We start from the raw sequence: 27783 nt of genomic DNA, 5'->3' as shown, positions 1-27783 counted from the left end.
GTGAAGCAATAAAAAAGGATGCTTCATGCAAATAGACACATTGACCAATGGAACAGAATAGAAAGCTCAAAAATGTACCCATAAGTTTATGACCAATTGATTTTTGACCAAGGTGCCAACAGTACATAATAAGAAAAACATGATCTATTTAAAAAAGGATGTTGGGAAAATTAGCTGTTTACATAGAGAATGAAATTGAACTTTTTCTGATACCATATACAAAATTCAACTCAAAATGAATTAAAACTTAAACATAAGATATAAAACTGTAAAACGAGTAGAAGAAAACAGGGAAAAAGCTATACAATATTGGTCTGGCAATGATTTTTTAGAATTGAGCCCTAAAAGTAAGATTACTTAAAACTAAAAAAACATCTGCATGGCAAAGTAAACAATTAACAGAGTGAATAGGCAACCTACAGAATGGAAGAAAATATTCGTAAGCCATACATCTAATTAGAGGTTAATATACAAAATACGTTAGAAACTCAAACAACTCAATAGTAAAAAAACAAATAACCTGATTTTTAAAGTGGGAAAATACCTAAGTAGTCATTTCTCAAAGAAAGATATGGAAATGGCCAATGGAAATGTAAAAAAAAAAAAATGCTCAATATCACGAAATATTAGGAAGATGCAAATTAAACCTACAGGGAGTTAACACCTCACAATTGTCAGAATGGCTACTAGCAAAAAGCTGAACGATAACAAGTGTTGGCAAGAATGTGAAGGAAGGGGGAAACCCTAGTACACTGTTTGGCGGGAATGTAAGATAGTACAACCATAATGCAAAACAGTATAGAGGTTCCTTAAAACACTAAAAGTAGAGTTCTCTTATGTTCTAGCAATTCTGCTTCTGAGTATATATGCAAAGAATTTGAAATTGGCTTATTGAAGAGATACCTGCATTCCCACATTTATTGCAGCATTATTCATGATAGCCAGATGATGATGTCTATCAACCAATGAAGGGTTAAAGAAAATATGATATATATACACAACAGAATCCTATTCTGCCTTTAATAAGAGAGAAATTATGTCATTTGTGACAACATGGATGAACTTGGAAGGCATTATGCTAAGTGAAATAAGCCAGACACAGAAAAACAGACACCACATATTCTCACTTACATGTAGAACATAAAAAAATCAAACACATACAAGCAGACAGCATAATGATAGTTACTTGAGACTAGAGAGTAGTGGAAATGAGGAGCTGTTGGTCCAAGTGTACAACAGTTAGACAGGAAAAATAAATGATAAGTATTTGAGGTAATAGGTATGTTAATTAGCTTGATTTAATCTTTCCAAATTGTATACATGTATCATACATCACTTTGTACTTAATATTCAAATATTATTTGTAAATATCCAATAAAAACTAACAATAAAATGTAAAAGATTGCAAGAGGAGAAAAGAATTCTTTGTAAATAATGTGTTTATGCTTATTTAATTTTTTAGAATAAAAATGTTAAAGAGAAAACATATCTTTTACATAATTATTTTTAAATTTAAACTTTAAAATATTGTAAGAGTCAATTAAAAATGTAAAGTTTTACGTTCAGTTTAAGTTTCATTTTGATTAAGATAAAGAACTTTGGAGTCTAATATTTCAGAGTTTCAACTCCAATTCATTTAGTTACAGTGAGACTTGGCCATATCACTTCACCATTAGACTTCGTAGATTTTTCCTCTGTAAGATGGGAGGAAAAATATTTACCTGATACATTAGTTATGAATTTTAGCTAAGTTAATTTATGCACAATGATTCGTATACTTCCAGGTCCACACTAAGTGTTATTTAAATTATAGCTTTTTTGGTGATTTTAGCAATAATTATAATCAGGGAAAAAAAGAGAAATTTAATAGTGTTTTGTGTTCATAGCTAGTGTTCATTTTATTCACACAGGAAATGCAGGATGGTAGGAAGAATAACAATTTTCATCTCAATTTCATAGATGAGAAGTCTAAGAGTCATCCTGGCAAAGTGTTTCATTTAAGGACATGTAGGTAATCAGTAATACAGTCAGACGTAGAATTGGAACCAGTTGACTGCAAACTTAGTGTGTTTTAACTTCAATCTACTATATTTTAGCGTTTCTGAGTAATCTGTCTTTTGCATTAATACTCTAAAGATACTTGGGGGAAAAAAGAGGTGTGTAAGATAATTTGAAAAGAAAGCAATTGAAAAACTGAAGTCAGGAAGGCAAGCTCTGAAGACAATACACTGATTCAGAAAAATGAAGGGGCTGTTCTAGTGACTCACTCATAGAGGCTGGCAGGGACGGACATAAAATGTAAGCACACGAGGTCAAGCTTAAAATAATAAATGCCTGCGAGGCGGATTCCTCATTATTATTGTCAGTTAAACAAAGACCCACAGCTGTTAACTGGAACTTTGGCCTAAATCACAGGCTTCTTTATGTGTTGTGAATTTCACTAAAAGGGCTGTTTTAAGTTCCATTTTAAAAGGAATAAATGTTAAACACACACACACACACACACGCACACACACATTGAATAGAGCTCAAATTCAAAGCTTCATGCTTTAAACACACACACATATTGAATAGAGCTCAAATTTGTTCAAAGCTTCATGCTTTAAAAACTTAATATTCTCAGTTCTCTAACTTTGCCTCCCAAAGTAGTAAAATAACAAGGAAACAAAGGAAGAATTGCTACAGGTATGAAATGTCAGCCAATGCATGCCATTTTGTAGGGGATCTCAATGGAGTGAGTTGGGAGAAAAATGTTGAGAGAAAATGTAAGAAATTAGTTGTCATTTTTAACGTCAGACCTTCTATCATTTACTTCATATATCTTGATTCACGTATTTTAGTTAATAACATTCTAAGAACAAGTTTGTGCAGTAGATATTTTCCCCTTAAAGACGGTTGGCAAATGGCAAACTGTAGTCCAAAGACCAAACCCAGTCTGCCATCTGTTTTTATAAATAAAGTTTTATTAGATTATGGCCACCCTCATTCACTTATGTATGGCCTATGGCTGCTTATGGGTTATAATGGCTGAGCTGGGTATACTTCTGTAACCAAGTAGGTATGTCCAGCAAACAACATACCTACAATCTGGTCGTTCTCAGATAATTACTGTTGAGTCCTTGGTAAGGAAACTGAGACTCAGTGAAAGGAAATATTTAGTTCAAGGTCAAATAACTTTTCGTTCTTCGGAGGTAAGGGTTGGTCTCAGAGTTTCCTAGTTCAACTTGTAATGAAACTCAAAGACTTCTCCAGGTCTAGCAAGATGTATTTTCCCTTAAACCATTTCATACAATTTGAGAACATAATTTCATCTTAGAGAACCTGGTGTTGTAATGGGGAAAATGTGCATTTCAGCATCTGAAAGACTCAGGAGAGCATTAGATTCCCTCATACTTGCTGTCACTAACCCCTATTTTAGTTGGTGAAAATTAAATGAAGAAAAGTTAGTAGTTATGTTCTGCAAACCAAAAAGGAAATATTCACTTGTGTGATAATAGTTTTCAGTGCCAGGTCAAAGTTTTGATTCTTTGCTAGAAAAATGTGTTCACTTTCAAAGGATTTCCTTTTAAATATGATGCCTCCTGAGGATACATTTTAAAAAAAATTTCCTATTACCCTGCCCAGCCAGAAGAGGTGAAGCAAAGTTGCTGACTTCAGCCTCAAGCCGATAAGGAGGAAAAGAGCTTGGCAGGTAAAAGGAAACATCTGGCATGCAAATGTGAATTTGTGAACCAAGGGTGTGTCTCTTAAAATGTTCCTGTTAAAATTTGCCTCGCATCATCTATAACTTCCCACTGATCATGAGTTTTTGGATTTTTACCCCATGAGATCATCCAGTCAAAAGGCGATGAGAGTGTCAAATTAATAAATGAATGTATAGTGAAAAAAGCTCACAATTTTCTACTCAAAACACACTAATTCACACGCTGCTGCCTTACCAAAAAGTTGTGCTACTGTGCAGTTACTGAAACATCGGTGTCCTTATTTTAAAATGGGGTCAACTTCCGTCCCCACCTGCCCACTGAGATGTTGTGAGGATCGAAACAGATAATGCAGCAAATGTTATTTAAAGCTGTTAGAGATCATGCAAAGTAAACATCATCTATATGACTAAGATGATGATGATGATGATGATGATGATGATGATGACAATAATGGCAAAGGTGATGAATCCAGGACTTTTTTTTTTTTTTTTTTTTGAGAGAAAAGGGGTCCTGTAAATAATTACTCTGGGACAACCCTCTTAAACCAGGATAGCCTCCAAAAAACTGGGGACAGGACAGCAGCCACTCTTTTTAAGCTGATCTTAACAACATGTTTAATTGCTGAAGATCACATCACAGTCTGGGGCTGGAAAGGAAGAATTTATATATCTTTCCAGCAACGTGGTTGATCTAAGAAAGCCTAACTTGAAAAGCAGATGGGAGAAGAAGGCAAGTGGAGGGATTGACCCTACAGCCCCATCATTGCTAGTTACTTAGCACAAAGTCATTTCTGATTAGATAGATCTACCTGTGTATCCCGCAAGCCCCTCAAATTCAGTGTTCTCAAACCCAGGTCTTCTGTCCACAAATTTTTTTTTTTTTTTTTTGAGACGGAGTCTCGCTCTGTCGCCCAGGCTGGAGTTCAGTGGCGCGATCTCGGCTCACTGCAAGCTCCGCCTCCCAGGTTCACGCCGTTCTCCTGCCTCAGCCTCCTGAGTAGCTGTGACTACAGGCGCCCACTGCCACCATGCCCGGCTAATTTTTTTGTATTTTTAGTAGTGACGGGGTTTCACTGTGTTAGCTAGAATGGTCTCAATCTCCTGACCTCGTGATCCGCCCACCTTGGCCTCCCAACACAAACTTTTTTGTAAAGACTTCTTTATGAAGTTATACTAAAATACCCTTTTCCATTGACTGACTCTTATTTTATCCGGCAGAAAGTTTGTTACTTTTGCCATCTAAAACTGATTTAAGTTTCCTTTTGCTTGTTCAAGCTGACTTCCACTGATTCTGTTCACGTGGCTTATCATACTTTACCTTAGGTATTAAGATACCCTTAATCTGGCTTTTCTGCTCGTAGCTCCCACTCTTCCAACTTGCCTGAATCCTCTGTCTGCTACTCTTAGAGCCATCATGCTTAATGATTTCTATCATTTTCTCTTCCATACTTGTACACGATGCATCTCTCAAAGTGCTTGAACTCTGTGCACTTACACTTAATGTTTAGCCAACATTCATATACTACCCTACATTAAAAAAAGCTATTTGAGATGAGAGTGACAAATCGCACAGGGCTTGAAATGGAATACAGACTGAAAAACTCACCCTTGAACAGCAGATTGTTTATATACATTTCTGTAAACATCCACTATATGCCCAGTGATGATGCTAAATGCTTCGGACTCCTACACAAAGAAGAAGAACAAGGAGAAGGAGAGAGAGAGGGACAGGGAGAAGAAAAGGGAGAGAGAGACGAGGAAGAAGAGAGAAGAGGAGGAGGAGGATAAACTTTCTCAAGACTTTTTTTTCTCCCCATAAAGTTTTGTCATGATGAAAGTCTTCTGGGTATCTTTATATTTTCATTCTCAATTTATACATACAAGGATGATCATATCTGACTGATTTTCTAGGAAAGTCCTGATTTCAAAAAGCATATTGCATACTATAAACTTATAAACCACCACCACTGTAAGAGATATTTAATATCTAGTTCAGTGGATCACAAACCCATTTATGTGATAACAATCCTGGAATTCAGAGTGTCTTTATAGAATTCTGTGATATAATGGTTTTATCATGTATTTAATTTCATCATGTAAAATAAGAAAGTATTTACTATCAGAAAATGTGATTTGATGCCCACATGGTGTATAAAAGTCATCTTATTATGATGGGCACTAGAGAGAAGGTAGTTAGTAGACAGCTTTTCAACCAAACTGTCACTGCTTTTGTTTTTGTAGCTGTTGTTGATGTCTGCTTACTTACTATGTGCATTCAGGTTTTTTTCTGTTTGCACATGAGAGTAGCTAACATTATCAGAAAGAAATTAAGGAAAAATACCTCATGACTGACATAATTCTAAAAAGTTAACTTAGCTTTTTCTCTCTATTTGCAAAACATTTATATGGCCAACCCACTTGCTCCTGTACTCTGCAGGCATATAATCTAAGATCTATTGGCTCAAAACCTTAAGTTTTAAAAAATCAGATTTATTTCATGATTATTGCCCATTAAGAAACATAATTTACTTCTAGGTCACACTCTAAGTGAAATTCTTGCTTTTTTTTTTTTTTTTTTTTCTCTAAACTTGAAAGGACGAAAGATGACACTTAGTGATTTTGGAAAAATGAATAGCAGAAATACGAACCAGACACATGGATGAAACTTATTCCATGGCTAAGCCCTGAAAACAGAATTAGTTAAGTCATTGGCTCAAAGAAATATGACTAAGGTTACTAGAGGATATGGCAGGAAGGGGCTCTATATTTATGGCATATTTAGTGTGAACAGGAAAACTGAGGAGAAAGGTCATTGACTGGGTTACTTTGTATTGTAGTGAAATCTTGATATGCTGTAAAACAGGCAGCACCAAGAATTTTGAAGAACTCAGGATTTGGGGTCAGAGAAGCAGGGTGGAATTCCAGCTTTGTTATATTTGGCAAGTCAATTAACTGCTGCCAGTCTCTATTATCTTTGCTTAAGTGACAATAATAATAATTGCATAGGAATATGTGCATATATTATATATATATAATCGCCTAACTGAATTTTATCAGGATTAAATGTATAATAATTGTTGTATGCAAAAATTGTTGACAACCACTTGAATACTAACACCAACAAACAGAAACTATCAAAGTGATGAGTCATATCATACGGTTATTTCATTTTGTTTTTATATTGACGTTTTACCCATAGAAGTTCTATTTTTTTAAAAAAAGATTAGTGCTTACACATATGGTAAATGTATTGAAGAGATCAGACTTTGGTGATATGAACTAGGTCCGATACAAGCAATAAATCTCCAAGTTTTCCCTTGGATATGGAAAAGCGTCACCAATGATATTGTTTTCATCAGCACTGCAGCTCAATTTATTTTCATTATATACCACAATGTTTTATTTTGGGATTCTGAAAACCCTTTTATTGGAAAATTAGGTCATTACAGCAATTGTGTTATCTCCCTCCACCTTCCTCCAATGTGCTGATCAAATCGCCCCCAGTTCAGGAAATCATCAAACAAATGAGAATGCTTACTCCACACATTTATGTGTCCACAGCTGCCCTTTAATGATGTTGTATCTGTTACCACTGTGGTTTCAAGTAACATTTTTCTCCTTTCACTTTGGATGATGTCCTCCAACAAATATTTGCATGTAAACAGTAAAAAGAAAAATATATTTTTCTGATCTAATTGTATGATACTTTTGTTTTCTCCTCCTCAAGTTTAAAGATGCTCAATGACTGTAGGAAGAAGATACTGGATTTTCAAAATAACATTTGATGAAAGCAATTGCCATGCAGTGATGAGAACAGGTTTGGGAGGCTCAAGACCTGGTGTGACATCCTGACTCCAATTGGTGTAAGCTGCATTGCTCTGCTCAAATGATTCAAACACTATAAACTGCAGTTGCACATTGGTAATACCTACTTCATTGGTATGTAAGATTTGAAAATGTTCATAAACCACCAAGCACTATGTAAGCATTAGTTATTCTTATTATGACTTTTTTATTCCTTCTATAGGGAAAAGAGTGCTAGAAGTTATAGCTAGGAATTCTAGTTACTATACAATTCCATAAACGATATTGTGAAAAAGCTTAAATTCTAAGATCAAAGATAATACTTATTCAGTAGGGTTTATATGTATGTTTATATATATATATATATTTTTACTCAGAGCAAATAATATGGTCAGTAAAATGGGTGACAATTGTAAACACAATGACCATTAGTGTTGTAAAGTACATGTCAGCCTAGGATGTAAAATAACTTTATTGAATAAAACCTTTCTAGCTACATAATATCTAAAGGTTACTGTGTTAATATACACACACAAACACACACACAGAAATAGCACTGAAAATAAAATAAATGAAGATGCTATTAAGTTCAAATGATGATGAAATTGACCCCCAAGTCATGGGAGTAGGTAAGCAGTAGAGAGCCAGTGGTCTTCTGAAGTCTGTAGCCCTGGGGCCTGACCCAGTCTCAGATAGTCCCCTCAATTCAAGATAAATTTAAATGCAATAGACTATAATCCAGGTCTACATATTTCCAGATCAAGCTATTTTCCCTTCTCCTTGCCAAGTGCAATAACAAAGTTTGGTTCTGAAATTCCCCAACGGACTGTTTAGCCTGGCTTTGGGCCCCCACATAGAGTGTGACAGCAGCCATGCAGTGAGGGCTTTCACCCCAGGGAAGGTGATGGTAAGCGTTCAGAAGATGTGTGCATGAGGTAAGACAAGTCTTTGCTTCATAAAGTGTTGTGTGTATTGTGAGTTGTTTCACTTCTCTTTCTCCCCACATCAAATTATAGTAAGGTCTAAAAGTGAATAACAAAAAACAGACTTCACAACACATTTCTAAATGATTCCTGGGAGGAATTCCCACCCAAATTGAGAAGCTTGGAGTTTTAAGATGGTTGTTGCTGAGGTCTGACTCTTAAGAGCAATCTGAGAACCCCTTTCTTTCATCTGAACTCAGACTATGCTCTTAGACCTAGAAAAAAAGGGGTTTCAGTGTCCAAAAGCTGAAAGGCTATGTTGTAGACATATAATGTTTCATGGACGGCAAAGCACCTGAAGGCTGTGCCTACATACAGACAAAGCGTGTCCCTAATTATAGGTTGATAGAGGCCAAGATTTAACTTTCCAATCCCTCATTAAAATATAAAGGCCTGTGACCTTGCCTACCAGCCAAGGAATGTGTCTGGTCTTAGGGACAGAAACGACCTAGGAATGGAGGCTTTTATGTTCTTGTGGGCAGGAGGTGCAGTAGGAGAATCAGCTACCAGGGATGGCCCACAGCACAGTGGAGATCTCATGTACAGTGTTGGAAGCAGTGGCAACAGCATTCAGGCCCTCACTAGATTAAGTCTGCAGCTTCATTTGTGCAGTGGTTCTGGCTTAGGAGCCTCTCCTTATTTTTGTCCTTTGAGCCTGATTCTCCAATCTTCCTGGAAATCTATGACTCACTCCCTATCTTTTCAGTAAGGATTTTTTTTTTTTCTGCCTAAAGAAGCATTCACTCGGTTGTGGTATGGATTGCATGATTATGTCCCCTTCCAACTCAAAAAAATACCTATATGTTGAAACCATAATGCTCAATGGGATGGTATTAGAAGGTAGGGCCTTTGGGAGATGATTAGATCATACAGGTGGAGTCCTTATAAATGGGATTAATGCCCTTGTAAGGAGAATTATAAAGAAATTGCTTCCTCTTTCTCTGCTCTTAGTCATATGAGGAGACAAGGAGAAGATGTCCATCTGGAAACCTTCAGGAAGTGGATCTTCACCAGACACCAGATCTGCTGGTACTTTGTTCTGGACTTCTCAGTCTCCAGAACTGTGAGAAATAAGTGTCTGTTGTTTAAGCCATTCAATCAATAGCATTTTGTCATATCATCCTAAACTGTCTCGTGGTGTTTGTATTGTTTCAACCTAAAGCCCTGAATGATGTGAATGGTTAACCATTTATAAACTACTGAAGTTGACTCAGCACATTATCTTGTACATGGTGGACCACTCATACCAGAGGTTAGTAGGTTTTTCCAGTTAAACCTTCTAATCATGCAGTAAACATTGTCTGCGCACCAATAAGTGCCAGGTACTCTTCTCGGTGCTGGGGATGCAAAATGACACAAACCTCAGTCTTGCCCAGGAGCTCATCATCTCCTAAAAATAAACAAACAAAAAAGCAAATCTATACATTTGTGTGTTAGTACTAAAACAGAGGTATGGTCCAGGATTTATGTAAACTGATGACCTTAGTTCTTTGTTGGTTACACACATTGAAAATATATTCTTACAGTTTATGGTCTTTTGTTTCACTTTTTAAGGTGTCTTTTATGTAGAGTTCATTATGTTGTATGTATTTATAATCCAGGATTATTAAAATGCTTGCCTATATGTTTTTTGCCTAAATGTTTTAGGTTTTCTCTATATTAAAAAATTAATTTAGCAAATGTTTTCTTGAATCTATTGAAGTGATTTTATGGTTCTTCTCCTTTAATGGACTAATGAAGATAATTACTTTAAAAGATTTTTAAATATTAAACTATACCAGCATTCCTGGCATACACCCAAATGAGTCCTGAATCTTTCATATATTACTGGAATCAATTTGTTAATATTTTGTTTAAAATTTTTACAACTATGTCCATAACTTGAATTGTTGTATAATTTTCATTTATCATCTGTCTTGGCTTGGTTTGATACCAAGATTATCTCAGCTTCATAAAATAAGTTCAAGTGAATCATCTGTTTCCAAGTTCTCTGGAACAGTTTGTGTAAGTGTGGAATAGTTCTTATCTTATTTCCTGAAACTTGACTCTAAAACCTTCCGAGTAAGTTGCCATTTTTGTGAGTAGATTCAGCCATTTCTCTCTTAAGAATCATTGTATCTCTGCTATAATTACATATTGAATATAAAAAGCATTAATTGCACCACTTACTATACACCTCCCCACTGCTCTTATTCTTCATTCTAGTTCTTCTCTCAGCAATTCACCTTCCTTATGTGTTTTTCAGAAATAGCCATTTTCAGGAGAATGGTGTGAACCTGGGAGGCGGAGCTTGCAGTGAGCCAAGATCAGGCCACTGCACTCCAGCCCGGGCGACAGAGCAAGACTCCATCTCAAAAACAAAACAAAATAAAAACAAAACAAAAACAAACAAACAAAAACAAAACCAGAAATAGCCATTTTATGTACTGTCTGAAGTGATCTCATCCAAACTTGTTTTTTTCTATACAACTAAAGAAACTGAGAGAATGGAGCATATCTGGGTTCAGGAAATGACCCTTCAATATATTCAGGGCACTGATGGTTCCCATCTTACAGAACACATGCACTATCCAATTCCTGAGTGTCCATTGAGAGAATATAAGGTCTTTTCTGCAAAATCATTTGCCAATATTCAAAGAGCACTTCTTATACACAGGCTCAGAGCCAGGATCTGGGATGAGTAAAGAAGGTACATGATCCTCCTCCACCATTAGCCTTCAATGTTTCACAGTGTATTAGTTCATTCTCACATTGCTATAAAGATAGTACCTGAGACTGGGTAATTTATAAATAAAAGAGATTTAATTGACTCACAGTTCTGCATGGCTGGGGAAGCCTCAGGAAACTTATAATCATGGCATAGCACAAAGGAGAAGCAAGGAGCTACTTCACAAGGCAGCAGGAGAAAGAGTGAGTGCACAGAGGAAACTGCCATTTTTAAAACCATCAGGTCTCACAAGAACTTCTTCACTATCATAAGAATGGCAAGGGGGAAACCACTCCCATCATCCAATCACCTACCACTAGGTTCCTCCATTGACACATGGAGATTACAATTTGAGATGAGACTTGAGTGGACACGGATCCAAACCATATCATTCTGCCCTTGACCCCTCCAAAATCTCATTTTTTTTTTCACATTTGAAAACCAATCATGCCTTCCCAACAGTCCCTCAAGATCTTAACTCAAGCCAGGATTAACTCAAAAGTCTAAGTCCAAAGTCTCATCTGAGACAAGGAGAGTCCTTTCCACCTATGGGCCTGTAAAATCAAAAGCAAGTTAGTTACTTCCAAGATACAATGGGGGTACAGGCATAGGGTAAATGTTCCCTTTCCAAGTGGGAGAAATTGGCCAAAACAAAGGAGCCAGAGGCCCCGTGCAAGTCTGAAACTCAGCCAGGCAGTCATTATGTCTTAAAGCTCCCAAATCTCCTTGGATTTCATGTCTCACATCCAGGGCACACTGATGCGAGGGGTGGACTCCCAAGACCTTGGGAAGCTCTGCCTCTGTGGCTCTGGAGGGTACAGCCCCTGCAGCTGCCTTCATGGTCTGGTATTGAATGCCTGTGGCTTTTCCAAGCACATGGTGCAAGCTGTCGGTGGATCTACCATCCTGGGGTCTGCAGTATGGCAGACTTCTCACAGCTCCACTAGGCAGTGCCCCCATGCAACCTCAATATTGGGGCTCCAACCCCACATTTCCCCTTTGTAATGCCCTAGCAGAGGTTCTCCATGAGGGCTCCACCCCTCCAGCAGACATTTGCCTGAACATCCGGGCATTTTTATACATCCTCTGAAATCTAGGCAGAGGTTTCCAAAGCTCAACTCTTGTCTTCTGTGCACCCACAGGCGCAACATCACATGGAAGCCACCAAGGCTTGGGGCTTACACCCTCTGAAGCAACGGCCTGAGCTGTATCTTGGCCCCTTTTAGCCATGGCTGCAGCTGGAGTGGCTGGGGTGCAGGGCACCAAGCTCCAAAGCTGCACAGAGAGGAAGGGCCCTGGGCCCAACCCACAAAGCCATTTTTCCGTGCTAAGCCTCTGGGCCTGTGATAAGAGGGGCTTCTGTTAAGATCTCTGACATGCTCTGGAGAGATTTTCCCCATTGACTTGGCTATTAACATTTGGCTCCTTATTACTTATGCAAATTTCTGCAACCAGCTTGAATTCCTCCCCAGAAAATGAGTTTTTTCTTTATAGTCAGGCTGCATATTTCCCAAACCTTTATACTCTGCTTCGCTTTTAAACATAAGTTCCAATTTGAAACCATCTTTTTTTGAATGCATATAACTGAAAACATTCAGAACAATACAGCTCACTTCTTGAATGCTTCGCTGCTTAGAGATTTCTTTTGCCAGATACCCTAAATTATCTATCTCAAGTTCAAATTTCCACAGATCTGTAGGGCCGGGGCAAAATGCTGCCATTCTCTTTGGTAAAGCATAACAAGAATTACCTTTATTCCATTTCTCAACAACTTCCTCATCTCCATCTGACACCACCTCAGCCTTGACTTCATTGTCCATATCACTATTAACAGTTTGGTCAAAACCATTCAACAAGTCTGAAGAAGTTCCATACTTTCCTATACCTTCCTGTCTTCTTCTCAGCCCTCCAAACCGTTCGAACGTCTGCCTGTCACTTGGTTCCAAATTTGCTTCCACATTTTCAGGTTATCTTTATAGCAGTATCCTACTCCTGTTACCAATTCTCTGTATTAATTCATTTTCACACTGCTATAAAGATACTACCTGAGAATAGGTAATTTACAAATACAAGAGGCTTAACTGACTCACAGTTCTGCATGGCTGGGGAAGCCTCAGAAAACTTGCAATCATGGCAGAAGGCAAAGGAGAAGCAAGAACCTTCTTCACAAGGCAACAGGAGAGAAAGAGAGAGCACAGGGAAAACTGCTATTTTTTAAACCATCAGATCTCATGAGAGCTTTCATATTATCATAAGAACAGCATGGAGGAAACCGCCCCCATGATCTAATCACTTCCCATAATGACCCTCCCTGGACACGTAGGAATTACATTTCAAGATGAGATTTGGGTGGGGATACAGAGCCAACCCAAACCATATCACACATATTTTTGGGAAGTGGACAGTTGATACACCAATAATTAAAGCAATAAGATAAATGCAGAGACAGGAACCAGGCAACCCAGAAGAGGCAATATCTCAATGCCTAGGGATGAGAGAATGAAATTGAGGAGTCAATTTGTCCTCTAGATATTGGTTACCAACTTTTTGCCTAGGACTATTACATTTTTAGCACTATACATTCTTTAACCCAGAAGCTCCTTCAGTTCCTGGCAAACTAGGTCAATTGGTCACTCTATCTAGACCTTCAGTGCCTAGCACAAACTTGTCCAACTTGTAGCCCGTGTGCTGCATGTGGCCCAGGATGGCTTCGGGTGTGGCCCAACACAAATTCATAAACTTTCTTGAAAGTTTATGTGGTCTTTTTTTGTAATTTTTTTTAACTCACTAGCTATCTTTAGTGTTAATATATGTTACGTGTGGCCCAAGACAGTTCTTCTTCTTCCAATGTGGCCCATGGAAACCAAAAGATTGAACGCCCCGGCCTACCACTATATATGGCACAAAGATGGAATCCAAAGGGTATACTTAATTAGTTGACATATGATCTGAGTAATCATGAACAGTAAGTTTTAACCAAGCATATGGAAAAGGGATTGCAAGGCTGTCTGGAGGAACAATGCAGGCAGAATTACTAAAGAACATGGACATGGTTTGAAATTGTAAGTCATCCTATGTGATGGAAGGAGCAGTGAGTACAGGAAAAGAGTTGGTGATAAGACTGCAGAAATAGACATGGTTCAGATGGTAAAAGTCAGGTTGAGGAGTAAGGGCTTTATTTTATCCTATAGTCAATAAGAGGATTAATAGAGAGGCATTAACAGAGTCAGCTAGCTCTGAGATAATATGAGCATAGTAGGGAAGAATCCAAATTTCTTTACGTGTTTGTATATAGAGGCATCTTTGTATATATTTGCATTTTGTATATTCAGGCATTGGAAGAATTGTCTGCCTGTTTCTGTTTCTGTTTTTGTTTTTAATCAGGACCCCATGTGTGACAGAAGAAAAAGTCTCAAGTTGGAGTTAAAATTCTCCTGCATCCTGATCAGATTCTGCTGCATTCTCCATGTGACCTCAGGCAAGTATCTATATTTCTCCAGCCTTAGGAATTCTAAAAGGGAATTCTTAAATTTTAAAAGGGAAACAGTGATATCTATTTCTAAGTCTTTTGTAGAAGACTGTGAGAAAATACCTACAGACAAGCTCTGAAAAATGTCAGGCAACACAGAAATCTAGGTTTGGAATTTGTAGTTGGAATGACTAATAGATTGTATGGCTAGTGGTGTAAGAGAAAAATGACTGAAAAAAAGGAACTACATTCATTAGCAATTAAAGCTACTCTTGAATTGGCTGTGCAACTTCAACAAAGCTGTATAATAGTCCTATAACTTTAGATAACAACAGTACAGCTTGTCACAATTAATGTTAATTATAGATAACTGATACATGATATGGATTGGCCTATGATCCCAATACAAAAAAGAGCCACATTTTACCTGACATGGAAGTTGAACTAACTTACAAAAGAATTAACAGTCCATGGGTCTGATATAATATATTTAATTAAATGGTGCCTATCAAAACCTCTGCTACTGAATTCCAATAAGGGTCTCCCCTGCTCCCTGTGTTAGCCTTTATCGCTCTGGCTGTCAGCACTGTGAACATTCCATTGTTTCTATTTGCTTTGAGATACAAACTTCTGGGTGCGTGGGGGCTGCAAGTGTTATTTTCAGTTATGTATCTCCAAATACTGCAATCACCTTACATCTGGCCTATTTCCATGACATCTGCTCTAAGACCCCAGTGGCACAATGGTCATGGCTTGTTTGTTAAGACATTCTGGGTCACTTTGGTTTATTTATCTTTTTATTAAGGTAAAGTTAGAAATTATACCGTGTCTGTCTCAATGAACAGAATGTTTGTATTCCTCACCACCAAATTCATATATGTTGAATCCTTAATCCCAATGTGATGATATTCAGAGGTGGGGCCTTTGGCTGGTAATTAGGTCACAAGGGTAGAGCCCTCATCAGTGGGATTAGTACTCTCATAAGGAGAGGCTGAGGAGTTAGATAGCTCTCTTTCCTTCCTTCCATGTGGGGCTACAAGAAGGTGGCCATCTGTGATCTGGAAGAGGGCCCTCATGACAATCTGACCATGCTGGTATGCTGACCTTGGATTTCCAGCCTGTAGAGCTGTGAGAAACAGATATCTGTTGTTTATAAGCCATTCAGTCTATGAGACTTTGTTACAGCAGCCCACACTGGTTAAGACATCCGTAAACATAGCTCACTATGAATAGCAGAACTCAAAATAAGCACGTGGACCACAGAGGTCATATGAGTTGAGGATCCCTGCATCTTGTGTGTCTTAGGTTTTGGTCTCAGGTCTGCTGTTAACTGCCGGTATAACCCCAGGTAAGCCTCTTGAATATTCTGAGCCTGAATCCCAGTTTTTAATCTGTGAACTGAAGAAAGGTAATTTTGTTTCACCCATCTGTTGTTCTATAAATAAATGAATTATGGTAAATGTGCTTTGTAAACAAAAATGTTAGCAGGGATATGAGACTTTAAAAAAGGACGAGAAAAGTTACAAATTTTAAGTCAGAAGTTTGATCTTCCACCTACAGGTTGGGAAATGATGGATGAAGCATCACTAGTATCTTGGAGTAGTTCAGTTTCGCTCTGGAGACAGAGTGCCAAGGTCAAATCACAGTACCACATTTTACCAGCTATGTGTGTGGCCTGAGGCAGGTTACTGAATACATTATGTTTCAGTTTCCTCACCAGATAAATGTGGGTGATATTAATTGGTTATGATATTAACATAAGAGGGTGAATATATATCAATAGAGTCTATATTACATAGTTGATATGAGTGTTAGCTGAGTTAAAAATCTGCAAAGCCCTGTGATCAGAGCCTGGCACGCTGACATTTCTGAATCCATGGTAGTCATTATATTTGCTTTGGTTACCTTTTCTGAAATGAAAAAGATTAGAATACCTCTGCCTAGAGCAAAATATAATAAATTTTAAAATACTTTGTCAACTTCAAAAGACAGTTCAAATTTCAGTAGTATGTATGAATAAATACTGATGAAATACATTTTGCTCAGCAGGGTGGAATTCCTGGATTTTGGGTCACACACACATGCACACTTACACACAGATGGCCAAACCCACTCACACACATGGTTACATACTCAGAGACACACAGACACATGCACACACACACTCTCACACACATGTACAAATGCACTAGAGTTCTGATCTGTCTCAGTACAAAATCCACTTCCATTTTTGAACGTGAAACCTGGAGGAAGAAGAACTAGGGTCTTCCAGAACAACCACAATTTAATTTGTTTTCAGGGAGTCCCCTATCCCCCAGAGATCATTAAGCTACAATTCAGAGTTATTAATCTCGAACAAGACAAGTCTTTTTCCTTTTTAGGTACTCAGTTATTTCAATTGTAAAATGAAAAACTTGGTACATAAGAGTCACTCTATGAATATTTGTGGAATGAAATAATTAAATGATCAAAAAGTAAAATTATGCAAAATTATTATTGCTATGATGTGTTTATTATGACAAAATCTTTCAAGGGTGCATTTTTTAGAAAAATTCTGTTATGCAATGATTCCCGAAGTCAACCCAGCCACAATTACCTTTTTTTCTGTAGATTACTAAAATATTCATAAAACTCAATAGTCAGGAGCGAATGTGTGTGAAAAAGTTTGTCCATGAGACTCCAAGTCCTCTCTCTTGGGAATCTCAGGCCTCTCATTCATACACTCATTCAACAACTCTTTGCAGAATACCTCCTTCGTATCAAACACTGGCTGGTGGACAATGACAGAAAAATGATATCAACAGGTTCCTGATTTTAAGGAGCACTCAGTCTAAAGGGAGAGTGGGAAGATATACAGTGGGTATGGCAAAGACTTTCTGCAGTCGCTAACATTTCAACTGATGGGAAAAGTAAGCAGGAATCCATCAAGGTTTTAGGGTGTTCTGCCAGTGGGGGGCAGATTGGCAGAGGCTTTGTTAAGAAATGCTCTATGTGTGCACCCAAACTGCAGGAGAATTCCTGCCATGGACCATGGGCAGAAACTCAAGGACATTGAGCCACAAAATGCAATAAAACTTAAAGCACTGTCTCTGACAAGAAAAATATGTGCTCACACCTAATTGACCAAAGTATGTCATATGGCCAAGGTCAATGTCACAGGGTAAGTCACATGTCAGGCGACCCAATTGTTTAATCTTATTGCAGAAAAGGAGTAAAAAATTGAGAATAAAAATATAATCTTCCATATTAATTTTATTAACAAGCTGATAATTTAGTAGGACCAATGAGCTTTTAATAGTAATAGGAGGTGAGATTAAAGCCTAAAGTAGAGACAACCCCTTGTGCATAAACACAGTTCACACAGGTAAAAACCTGGGAGTTCTTTAACACTTTATTTTCTCTTTTCCCCAAAAGTTAGCCATTTTCTAATTCATGTGAATTCCATTTATAACACTTATAGTACTTAGCAAAGTATCTGACACAGAGTTGGTATTCATTGTATGTTTGGTAAATGAATGCATGTATGCTTGAATAAATACATGGCCATGCTGCCAGCCTTTTCTTGCAAAGTTTGTTTTAGATTGGATTCAAGCTTCTACAGCACCTGTGCTTATCAACTGCGTCACACTATTACAGTTCACAATAATTGTTTGTTCATCCGCTTCTCATTACACCATACTCATGGGCGAGGTCAGAGAATGTGTCACCTCTCCCTAACCGAGGGCCTGGCACAGTGTTTGGCATATAATAAGAGCTCAGCAATGTTATTTGATTCCTAATTATCACTAGCAGCATGAATTTTTGACTACTTAACATACAACTTAAGTCAAGAGGTGCTGAATAACCACAGGTCACACATTGAATAAGTGTTAACACTAAAATTTATGACACAGTTTTTCTCCAAACTAGTCTTTATACAGTACATCATATTTATTTCAGAGATCAGCTAGAAGCTGAGAGAAAGCATATTTAATAAACACAACAAAGACTATATAAAGAACTTATACAAGTTTAAAAGAAAAACACAAACCCCAGGGAAATATGGACAGTTTGAATAAGTTTGTCATAAAATATAAAAATATGTATGGTTTGTAGAATATGAGGGTATATCCAGCTCCATTAGTGTTGAGAAAGATGCAGTTTAAGACCATGATGTGCTACTATATTTTACAGTCAGTTGGTTAGTGAAATTTCAAAAGTCTGACAATATCAGATGCTAGAAAGATACAAATTTATAGCATATCTTATCTATTACTGGTTGATATGTAAACTTGGCTGAATCTCTTAAGAAAATAGCTGAGTATTGTAAACTTGTATATTCAAATACTGAGAAAAGTACATATTTTACTTCTACATGTAGAACCAAGGGAACCTTTTAAACAGGTTCACCAGATATGTGTCCACTATCATGCACAAAATCTTTGAAACTAACAAAAACCTATAAACAACCTAATGCCAATAGAGAGGATATGAGATGAATAAACTGTTGTATATTTACTATTATGGCCCTAAAAATAAATGTGGTATAATAATAATGAACAGTATAGATGAATTACAAAAATATATTCAAATTTTAAAAATACTTTGAAAAATATTATGTATGCTGTAAATCCTTTTTAAAAATAAAGTTGAACACAACTATTAACAAACAAGTGCTTGCTTGAAATGCCACACACAAATAGGAAAACAAGGAAATGATGCACAGAGAATTTTGGATGGTGGTTACTTGAGATGGGGTTACATAAGAAAAATAAATGCAAGAGGACCCTATACAGTTATTGTTAATGTTCTTCCTTAACTGTGGATTCATGGATGTTTATGACATTATTTCAAATTAATTGTAATCACTTTTTGAAAATTTGAAAAAGTGTAATCCATGGACCAATGATACATTGCATGGCCAAGGATTATAAATAATACAATTGCACTTTAGATCCATTAACAAAAGAAGAAGACCTGATTGAATCCGAGTACCTAGGCTTAGAGTTAAAACAAAATATTGATCTCGAGGAGAAATTCTCTACCCCTTGAAAATTTTCTTCAAGTAGGTCAAGTCCAGGTGTAAGAAGGAGACAGTCAAATGGAGCACAAGATAGGCCCAAGGATTTGGGATGCTCAAGTTGTGGGTCAGAGGCTGATGATACAAACAGGAATCGGGAAGACACAAAGTAATATGGAGCAGGGCTGGACAGCAGTATAGCTCTAGAAGACTGACAGTCACCAGCACACCCATGGGAAAGGAGAGGTCAGAGAGGGCCAATGGACCTGCTGGGTAAACAATCAGGATTTGAAGATTCAAAACAAATAAAGAAGATGATTGTAAATACTGAACTAGAGTTCACAGAGAAGCTGTGCAGTGCACTGGAATAAATACTACATTCTGGCTTCAACTCTGTTCCTGACTACTCTTAGGCTGTTATGCAAATCATTTTCTCTGTATAAGCCCCAGTTTCTTCCTAGGATAACTTCCTCCATTACAGAGGCTTTTGTGAAGCTCAAGTGAAAAAATGTATGTGGACATGCTTTGGAAATTACAAAATGCCTAATAAAGGTGAGAAGTTGGTATTATTTTGCTCACCGAAGACATTGGAAATAAAGTGATCGTGAAAAAATGTCAAGATGCCCCTGATATTTTTAAGTACTCATTCACCTGTCTGCCTCCACTAATGGGTTATATGCTCTTAGATTATCGAGATGTCAATGTGTTCTCTGTATACTCCTTGTAACTATCTCATTAGCTGATTCCTTGTGGTCTACTAAGTATTAAAGCAATCAATAAAATAATTGCAAACAACCTTAGTGCTGGCCTCTATGTAATCCAATTTCCCAATGACAGTGGTTTTATAGCTAGATCCCTTCCCCCCACCCTCCTTATAGTTGGGACTCCAGCCTTTCTGAGAGAAAAATCTAATGATACAATTCAGTTTAAAAATTCTCTTAAGCTCACTAAAGTCTAGAAGAACGAAAGCATGATATTCAACACTGTTCAACATATTCTGTCTTCTCCCTACCTTTCCCATCTTGTCTTCCACAAAGGCACACAGAGCCACCAAATTCTAGAAATGCTCCATGCTCTTTTTAAGTCTTAAAAGCTTCACTGCTATTCCTTGCACCTGGGATTTTCTTGCCATTTCTGACTCTACCTCTACCAAGTAAACTACAGTTTACTCAAACAGTCAAAGTTCACTCTACCTCTACCAAGTAAACTGCAGTTTACTCAAACAGTCAAAGTTCACACATCTATTTTCCTCACTAGCCCAAGACACAGTTTCACAATCTTGTCTCTGCTGGAAACCACCACATCTCATGGAATGATGGGTGTGTGAGTGTTCTCGTGGCTAAAATTACTTGTGTTTATTTCTTATGACCAGCACCTACTGGCAGTGCTTAGAAAGAGAAAACATGCTCAATATATGTTTAATGCAAAGATAGAAGAAAGAATATTACTTTTTCCAGTTGTAGTACAGGAGATATTCCTGGGAGGACATCTGGGAAAGCATTTCCTATGGGTCTTTACACAATGATCCCCATGGAGTAGAAGGAAAAAAACATATAATAATATTTCAAGCTTCTCAATTTTGCCCAGCCTTCAAGAGCTTATTTCCTATGGAACATTGACTGTATGGAGTTAAATTAGATTTTATCAAATAGTAATTTGTCACATATGTAATACATGAAGGTGTGTGATTGATGTGGAATCTTGAAAAATCATTCTAATATGTCAGAAGGACAAATGGATTAATGAGAGGTATAATTTATGGTCGTAGATGCGGCTCTGTATTAAGTTGGCAAAATCAAAGCCTCACTTAAAGGTAATCTACCTCACTCCATTCTTAACTAAAGTGTCATTGCCAGTAAGACCAGCATAGTGGAAACAGCTCAATTGTGTTGAATTCAAGCTACTTAATCGGCTTCCTTTGACTGATTCTTCAGAGCATTTGTTACTATACTTGATAAATATGTGACCCTGGATGTTTTATCACTTTAATTTTTATATCACTAGAAATAAAGTGTATTTTAATTTTTAATATTTAGGGCCAGGCTCACGTGTGTAATCCCAGCACTTTGGGAGGCCAAGGCAGGTGGATCACCTAAGGTCAGAAATTTGAGACCAGCCTGGCTAACATGGTGAAATCCTGTCTCTACCAAAAAGTACAAAAATTAGCTAGGTGTGGTGGTGCATTCTTATAGTCCCAGCCACTAGGGAACTTGATGTGGGAGAATTGCTTGAACCCAGGAGGAGGAGGCTGCAGTGAGCCTAGATCGCACTACTGTACTTCAGCCTGGGCGACAGTGTGAGACACTGTCTCAAATAATAGTAATAAATAATAATAATAATGTTTAGTTTTAATATAACTAGAAATGAAACTTCCCTTAGAACATAAATGTATCTTTTCGCTGCCTTTTTTTTCCATTTTAAGTCTATAAGTTACTGCCATGAACTAAATTGTGTCTCTCCTAAATTCATATGTTGAACCTCTAGCTCTCTGTGTGACTTTTTTGAAGATAAAGTTTTTTTCTTTTTCTTTTTTGATTTTTGTAGGTACAGTCTTTAAGAAGGTGAGGTAAAATGAGGTCATAAAAGTAGGTCCCTAACTGAGTAGAACTGGTGTTCTTAGAAGAAGAGGAAGAGATACTAGAGCTCTCTCTCTCCCTAGTGTGCACACAGCAAAGGTCAGACAGAGTGGCCTCATCAGACACCAACTCTGAAGGCACCTTGTTCTTGAACTTCTGACTTCCAGAACCGTGAGAAAATAAATTTCTGTTGTTTAACCCACTCAGTCTATGGTATTCTCTTATGACAGAGTAAGTACACCAATATAGTTACATAGAGTGGAATACACAGAATTTAAATTTACATTGCAATATGTTTTAACATATGCATATACTCATATAACCTCTCCCCAGTCAGAAGAGAACATTTGCAACATCTCGGAAAGCCTGGACTCTCTGCCACATCCCAAGGCAGTCTGGCTTCAAACTCCCACCCAGGGGCAACTGCTACTCTGATTTCTATCTCCATAAATTAAGCTTTGCCTATAATAGAATTTCAAATAAATGAAATCTTACAATACGTACTGTTTTGGTCAGAATGTATTAGCTCAACATCACGTTTTTAAGATTCACCCATGTCATTTCATTCATACAAATATTGATATTCCTGAATGGTATTTCATTTTATAAATATATCATCCTTTATTTATTCATTGTCTTGTTAATAGATATTTGAATTATTTTTAGTTTTATTTTTATATTATGAATAAAGCTGCTCTGAACATTCTCATAAAAGTCTTATTGTGGTATTTGTTTTGGTTTCTCTTGTTTAAATAACTAGTAGTGGAATAGTTTGATCACTGAATATTTACCTTTGTAAGAAACTACCAGAGTACTGCAAAATGCTTATAATGTTTTACATTCTCAAAAAAAAAAACAAAACAGTTTTTATAGCTCCACATTCTCATCAGCATTTTGGTGTAGTGGCTTTAGCTATTCCTGTGGATTTGTATGATATCATAATTTGATTTGAATTTGTATTTCCCTTTTGACTAATAATGCTGAGCACATTAAAAAATGTAATGTGCTTATTGGCTTTAGGTATCATTCCCCTTTTTTTAAATTGCAGGAGTTCTTTTTTTCTGGAAAAAGTCCTTTCTCAGATATCTGTGCTAATGATACATTTTAATTTTATAAAGATTCATTTGATGAACTGTGGAATTTAATTTTTATAAAGTTCAATTCATCACTTTTTAATGTTTTATGGAACTGTGATTTCAAAAAAGTCTTTTTCTACTTTGTCTCGATCACAAAGATGTCTTTCCTGTTTTCCTCTAGAAACCATAATTTTAACCTTAAAATTAATGCATCAGATCCATTCAAATTTACTCTTGCACCTAGGATGAACCAACGGTTGAGAATAGTTTTTCCCTAGGGCTATCAATTTGATTCTACATAACTTATTTAAAATGTTAATTTTCTTCATTGAATTGGTTTGTTGCCTTTTGTTGAGAATTAACTTGATAATTATAGGTATATTTGTAGAAACTATAATCTGTTACGTTAATCTATTATTTGTTTATCTTTATGCAAAATTCGCACTCCCTTGATCACTGAAGCTTTATATTAAATTCAATTTTTTTCCTTTTTAAAACAGTTTTGGCAATTATAACTTTTGAAATTAATACATGACTTTTACAATGAACATATGACTTTCAAATCACTGTGGCAAAACTCTACTGTAATTTTATGAGTGTTGTACAAAATCTATTTATCATTCTGAAAAGAACCAACCCAGGAACAATATTCAATCTTCAAAACTGTGAATATGGTATATTTCTGCATTTATTTGAGTTTTTAAATTTATTTCAGCAATGCTTTATACTTTTTATTAAGTTCTTATAAATCTATCCCTTAGCTTATTCCTAACCTTTATCATCTTTATGTTATTGCAAAAACTACACATACTATTTGTTTGCTTGTTTGTTTTCTTATTGTACTGGACAGGTGCTCCAACACAATGGGGAAAGCAATATCCCTCTTAATGGATGGATATTATTTTCCTGTTTTTTATTTTGGTTTCACTATTAAATAAGATCTTAGCTGAAGATTATTTATACATGTCTTTATCAGGCTGAGGAAGTCCTCATTTATTCTAAGTTTGCTGAGAATTTGTATTAAATAATATTTCTGCATTTATTGAAATGACTAAATACATTATTTTCTTAATCTGTTAATATGGTAATGTATATTGATTCACTTTGCAATGTTAAACCAACCTTGCATGCCTTGAATAAATGTGACTTGATTACAGTCTATTATCAGATATGATTTGTTAATATTTATTTTGTTAAGAATTTTTGCATCTGCTCCTGAGAGAGATCCGTCTCGAGATTTCCTTCATTGTAATACCTGTCTGGTTTTGCTGTCACAGTAATGATAGTACAAAAAATGAATTGGAAAGTGCTTCCTTCTCTATCTTCTTAAAAACAGATATGCAGTACTTTAAATATTTGCCTGAATATATCAAGGAAGCTATGTATGCCTAGAGTTTCCTTGACTAAAATATATTTAACTAGAAACTAGCTTTCTTTAATAGGCACACAGCTTTTTCTATTTTGTCTTGAGACAGTTTTGAGAATATGACTTTAGGGAATTTTTCTATTTAATTTAAGTTGAAGAGTTTATTGGCACAAAAGATTTCATAATTATCTTTTCAGATTCTTGTAATATTGTTAGAATTCTTGGAGATGTTTTCTCCTTCATTCCTGATATTGATAATTTGCGTTTTCTCTCTTTCTTTTCTTGATCATTTAATCTAGAGGTGTATTAATCTTATTGGTCCTTTCAATGGATGACGTTTTGTTTTTGTTGACTATTTGCTATTCTTGTATATGTGTTTTTATTTTTATCCTTATTATTTCCTTCCTTTTATTTAATATCAATTTACCTTTCTTTTCCTAGTTTCTTAATGTTTAAACTTACATTATTAATCTTAAACCTTTCTTCTTTTTTAATCAAGTCATTTGAAGTTATAGATTTTTCTCCAAGCAATACTTCAGCTTAATTCCACAAATTTTATCTAAATATTATAGTCATTTTATACTATTGGAAATTATATGTAATTATTATTTTATCTTGCATTATTTAGTATTTAATATTGATTTAATTATAAATAATACTATTACAGATTATTGCTTTTTTCCAACTTATTACTAAATATTTTGGGTATTTTTTAGAAATATTTAATTGGCTTCTAATGCAATTTTATTATAGTCACTATGTTTGCTTTAATTTTAAAGATTATTGTAACATTTTATTTTCCAATATAAGGGCTATCGTGATGAATGTTTCTGACATTTAAAAACAACATGCATTCTGAGATCTCTGTTGCCAAGACCTAAACTAGTTCCATTTATTTGTCCCATTTTTCATGCCACTGTTGTTTGTACAAGCAAAGAATAATTCCAAAATCCATTATCCATCATAACCAAAATGGAAGTGCCTTTTGTTTGTCTTGAAATTTAATACTAAACCACAGACATTTCCATGACTAACAAGTAGCTCATAATCTTTGGGCTCTTATTCCAGAAAAAGATGTACTTTACATCCTGAAATATTTGTTATATGAGTGGATATGGAAAAAACAACAGCCAATACAGATTATGGACTAACTCTAGAGGAAAGGGCTCTGATGGAATATGGGTTAGAGCTGCAGGCCACTTTCCATGCAGTCACTATTGCCAGGTTGTCAGTCTGAAAAAAATAAAAAAAATAAAAAATAAATAAAATCTCTTGCGAGAGACATTTAGCATCTCAGAAATAAAGCGGAAAATTCTGAAAAGAGAGAGAACATTCCCTGGTGAGTTAGATGCAAAGGTTAAGGAGAAGAGAAACTAGAGAATGCATAAGATCAATAATATCAAAATAACCAAACAAGATTTAGTTATATTCTGTTAGTAATTCTTATAGTATGCTCTAATGGCAATTTGTGTTGTAATCGCTAGAGTTGCTTATTAAAAATGGGCATCTGAAGTCCCCACCTGTGCCTTTTAATAACAAAGAACACTATCATTTGCTATTTGTCTTGAGGCATACCAAATGCTTCCCATGGATTATCTCATTTAATTTTTATAGCCACATTATAGGATAGTTCTCATTAAAAATCACCACTACAAAAAGAACCTGAGGATTAGATAAGAACTTTGTCTTCTCCAAGTTCGTAGAAGCAAGAAGTAGTGGAGTAGGTGAATCTCATGCACACTAAAGTTTAGGACAATTAGTTTAGGGGTTTAATGCGATGAAAATGACCCCAAGATGATAAAGGGATAATGAATACAGTGTGTGGGATAGAACTACACAGAAGCTGCAGTCAGTGACAATATTACGATTGTGTCTATTTGTACCTGATCTGCTCTTCTTTGTTCATTCTTGGAAATAAATCAAGGGGGAAAGGTGTCTGGAAGCCAAGGTCAATACCCACCCAGGAAAAGGACTTGGCCATATAGCTTGTCAGAGTTTTAAATCAGGTGATTGGGACATGGAAGACTTCCGTCCTAGCAGGGGAACAGAGTCCCTACTGTAAAGCTGAGGAAGAAGCTGCACGTGGATAAACTTTGGTGGACAGGTAGCATAGTGATATACTAGAATAGGCCCAGGAGGAGCATCTACCGGGAAAGTGTCATGCAAAACAATTCCAGACCCCACCTGCCAGTGGCATGAATAATAGTAATGTTTTCCTTGCTGTGGTCAGGTTTGTCACTGTGTCCGGAGTTGGTTCCTTCCAGTGGGTTCTTGGTCTCACTGACTTCAAGAATGAAGCCGCGGACCCAGCGGCAACCCGCTTGGGTCCCCTTCCACGCTGTGGAAGCTTTGTTCTTCTGCTCTTCACAATAAATCTCGCTGCTGCTCACTCTTTGGGTCCGTCCCACCCTTAAGAGATTTAAAACTCACTGCGAAGGTCCTCGGCTTCATTCTTGAAGTCAGAGAGACCAAGAACCCACCGGAAGGAACCAACTCCAGACACATCATGACCACTGAAGAGGAATGAATATACAGGTGAAAGGATCTCAGGGAAGCAGCTAAGGAGGCTGTCAGAAAGATTTTTTCCCCCTTGGCTTACCACAAAGAACTATTTGTTAGGGAGACCATGCATTATTTGGGTTAAGTACATGCGTATACGAGTCAAATATGTATGAGTTAAAAATATGAGTTTGCATTTACGAACTCCATAATCCAGGACATTTTTTTACCCTTTCTGAACCTTCAATGTTTGTCTATAAAATGAAAATACTTTTCAGAGCATTTTGAATAATTAAATTAAGTCATATCTAAAACACTGACAGTCAATAAATGCTCCCCCCACTTGCACTGTTTTAGAGAAATGGTGCTTACAAATGTGTACTGTGGTATCACTGGCCAAAGGAAGATGTCCAGGTAGTACATGGGTCTCTGCCCAGAAAATTCAGGAAGTACCAACTAAATGCAAGAACAGTCAGGACTCAGAGATCAGAACAAGCAGTGCATCTGGAATCCCTATTTCAGGCAAAGTTTCAACCTAAAAACAACTGTCACTTGTCTTTGAGATATCCGACTTGGATACTAAGTGCCAAGAACAAGAAAC

At 36.5% G+C, this 27783-nt stretch overlaps 2 long non-coding RNA genes across 4 annotated transcripts in view; one reads left to right on the top strand and one right to left on the bottom strand.

The window, feature by feature from the left end:
• LINC02360 (long intergenic non-protein coding RNA 2360) overlaps positions 1–9726 on the top strand; it is a 28518-nt gene extending 18792 nt beyond the window's left edge. The window contains exons 2-4 of the long non-coding RNA NR_146995.1: positions 3625–3691; positions 7431–7566; positions 9442–9726. This is a non-coding gene — a long non-coding RNA (long intergenic non-protein coding RNA 2360). The remainder of the gene's footprint in view (positions 1–3624; positions 3692–7430; positions 7567–9441) is intronic.
• LOC107986178 (uncharacterized) overlaps positions 1–27783 on the bottom strand; it is a 245894-nt gene that overhangs the window by 39190 nt on the left and 178921 nt on the right. The window lies entirely within an intron of this gene.

The sequence above is a fragment of the Homo sapiens genome, chromosome 4, assembly GCF_000001405.40.
Source record: "Homo sapiens chromosome 4, GRCh38.p14 Primary Assembly".
NCBI classification, from domain to species: Eukaryota; Metazoa; Chordata; class Mammalia; order Primates; family Hominidae; genus Homo; species Homo sapiens.
This window is presented reverse-complemented; position numbering and strand designations above follow the sequence as displayed.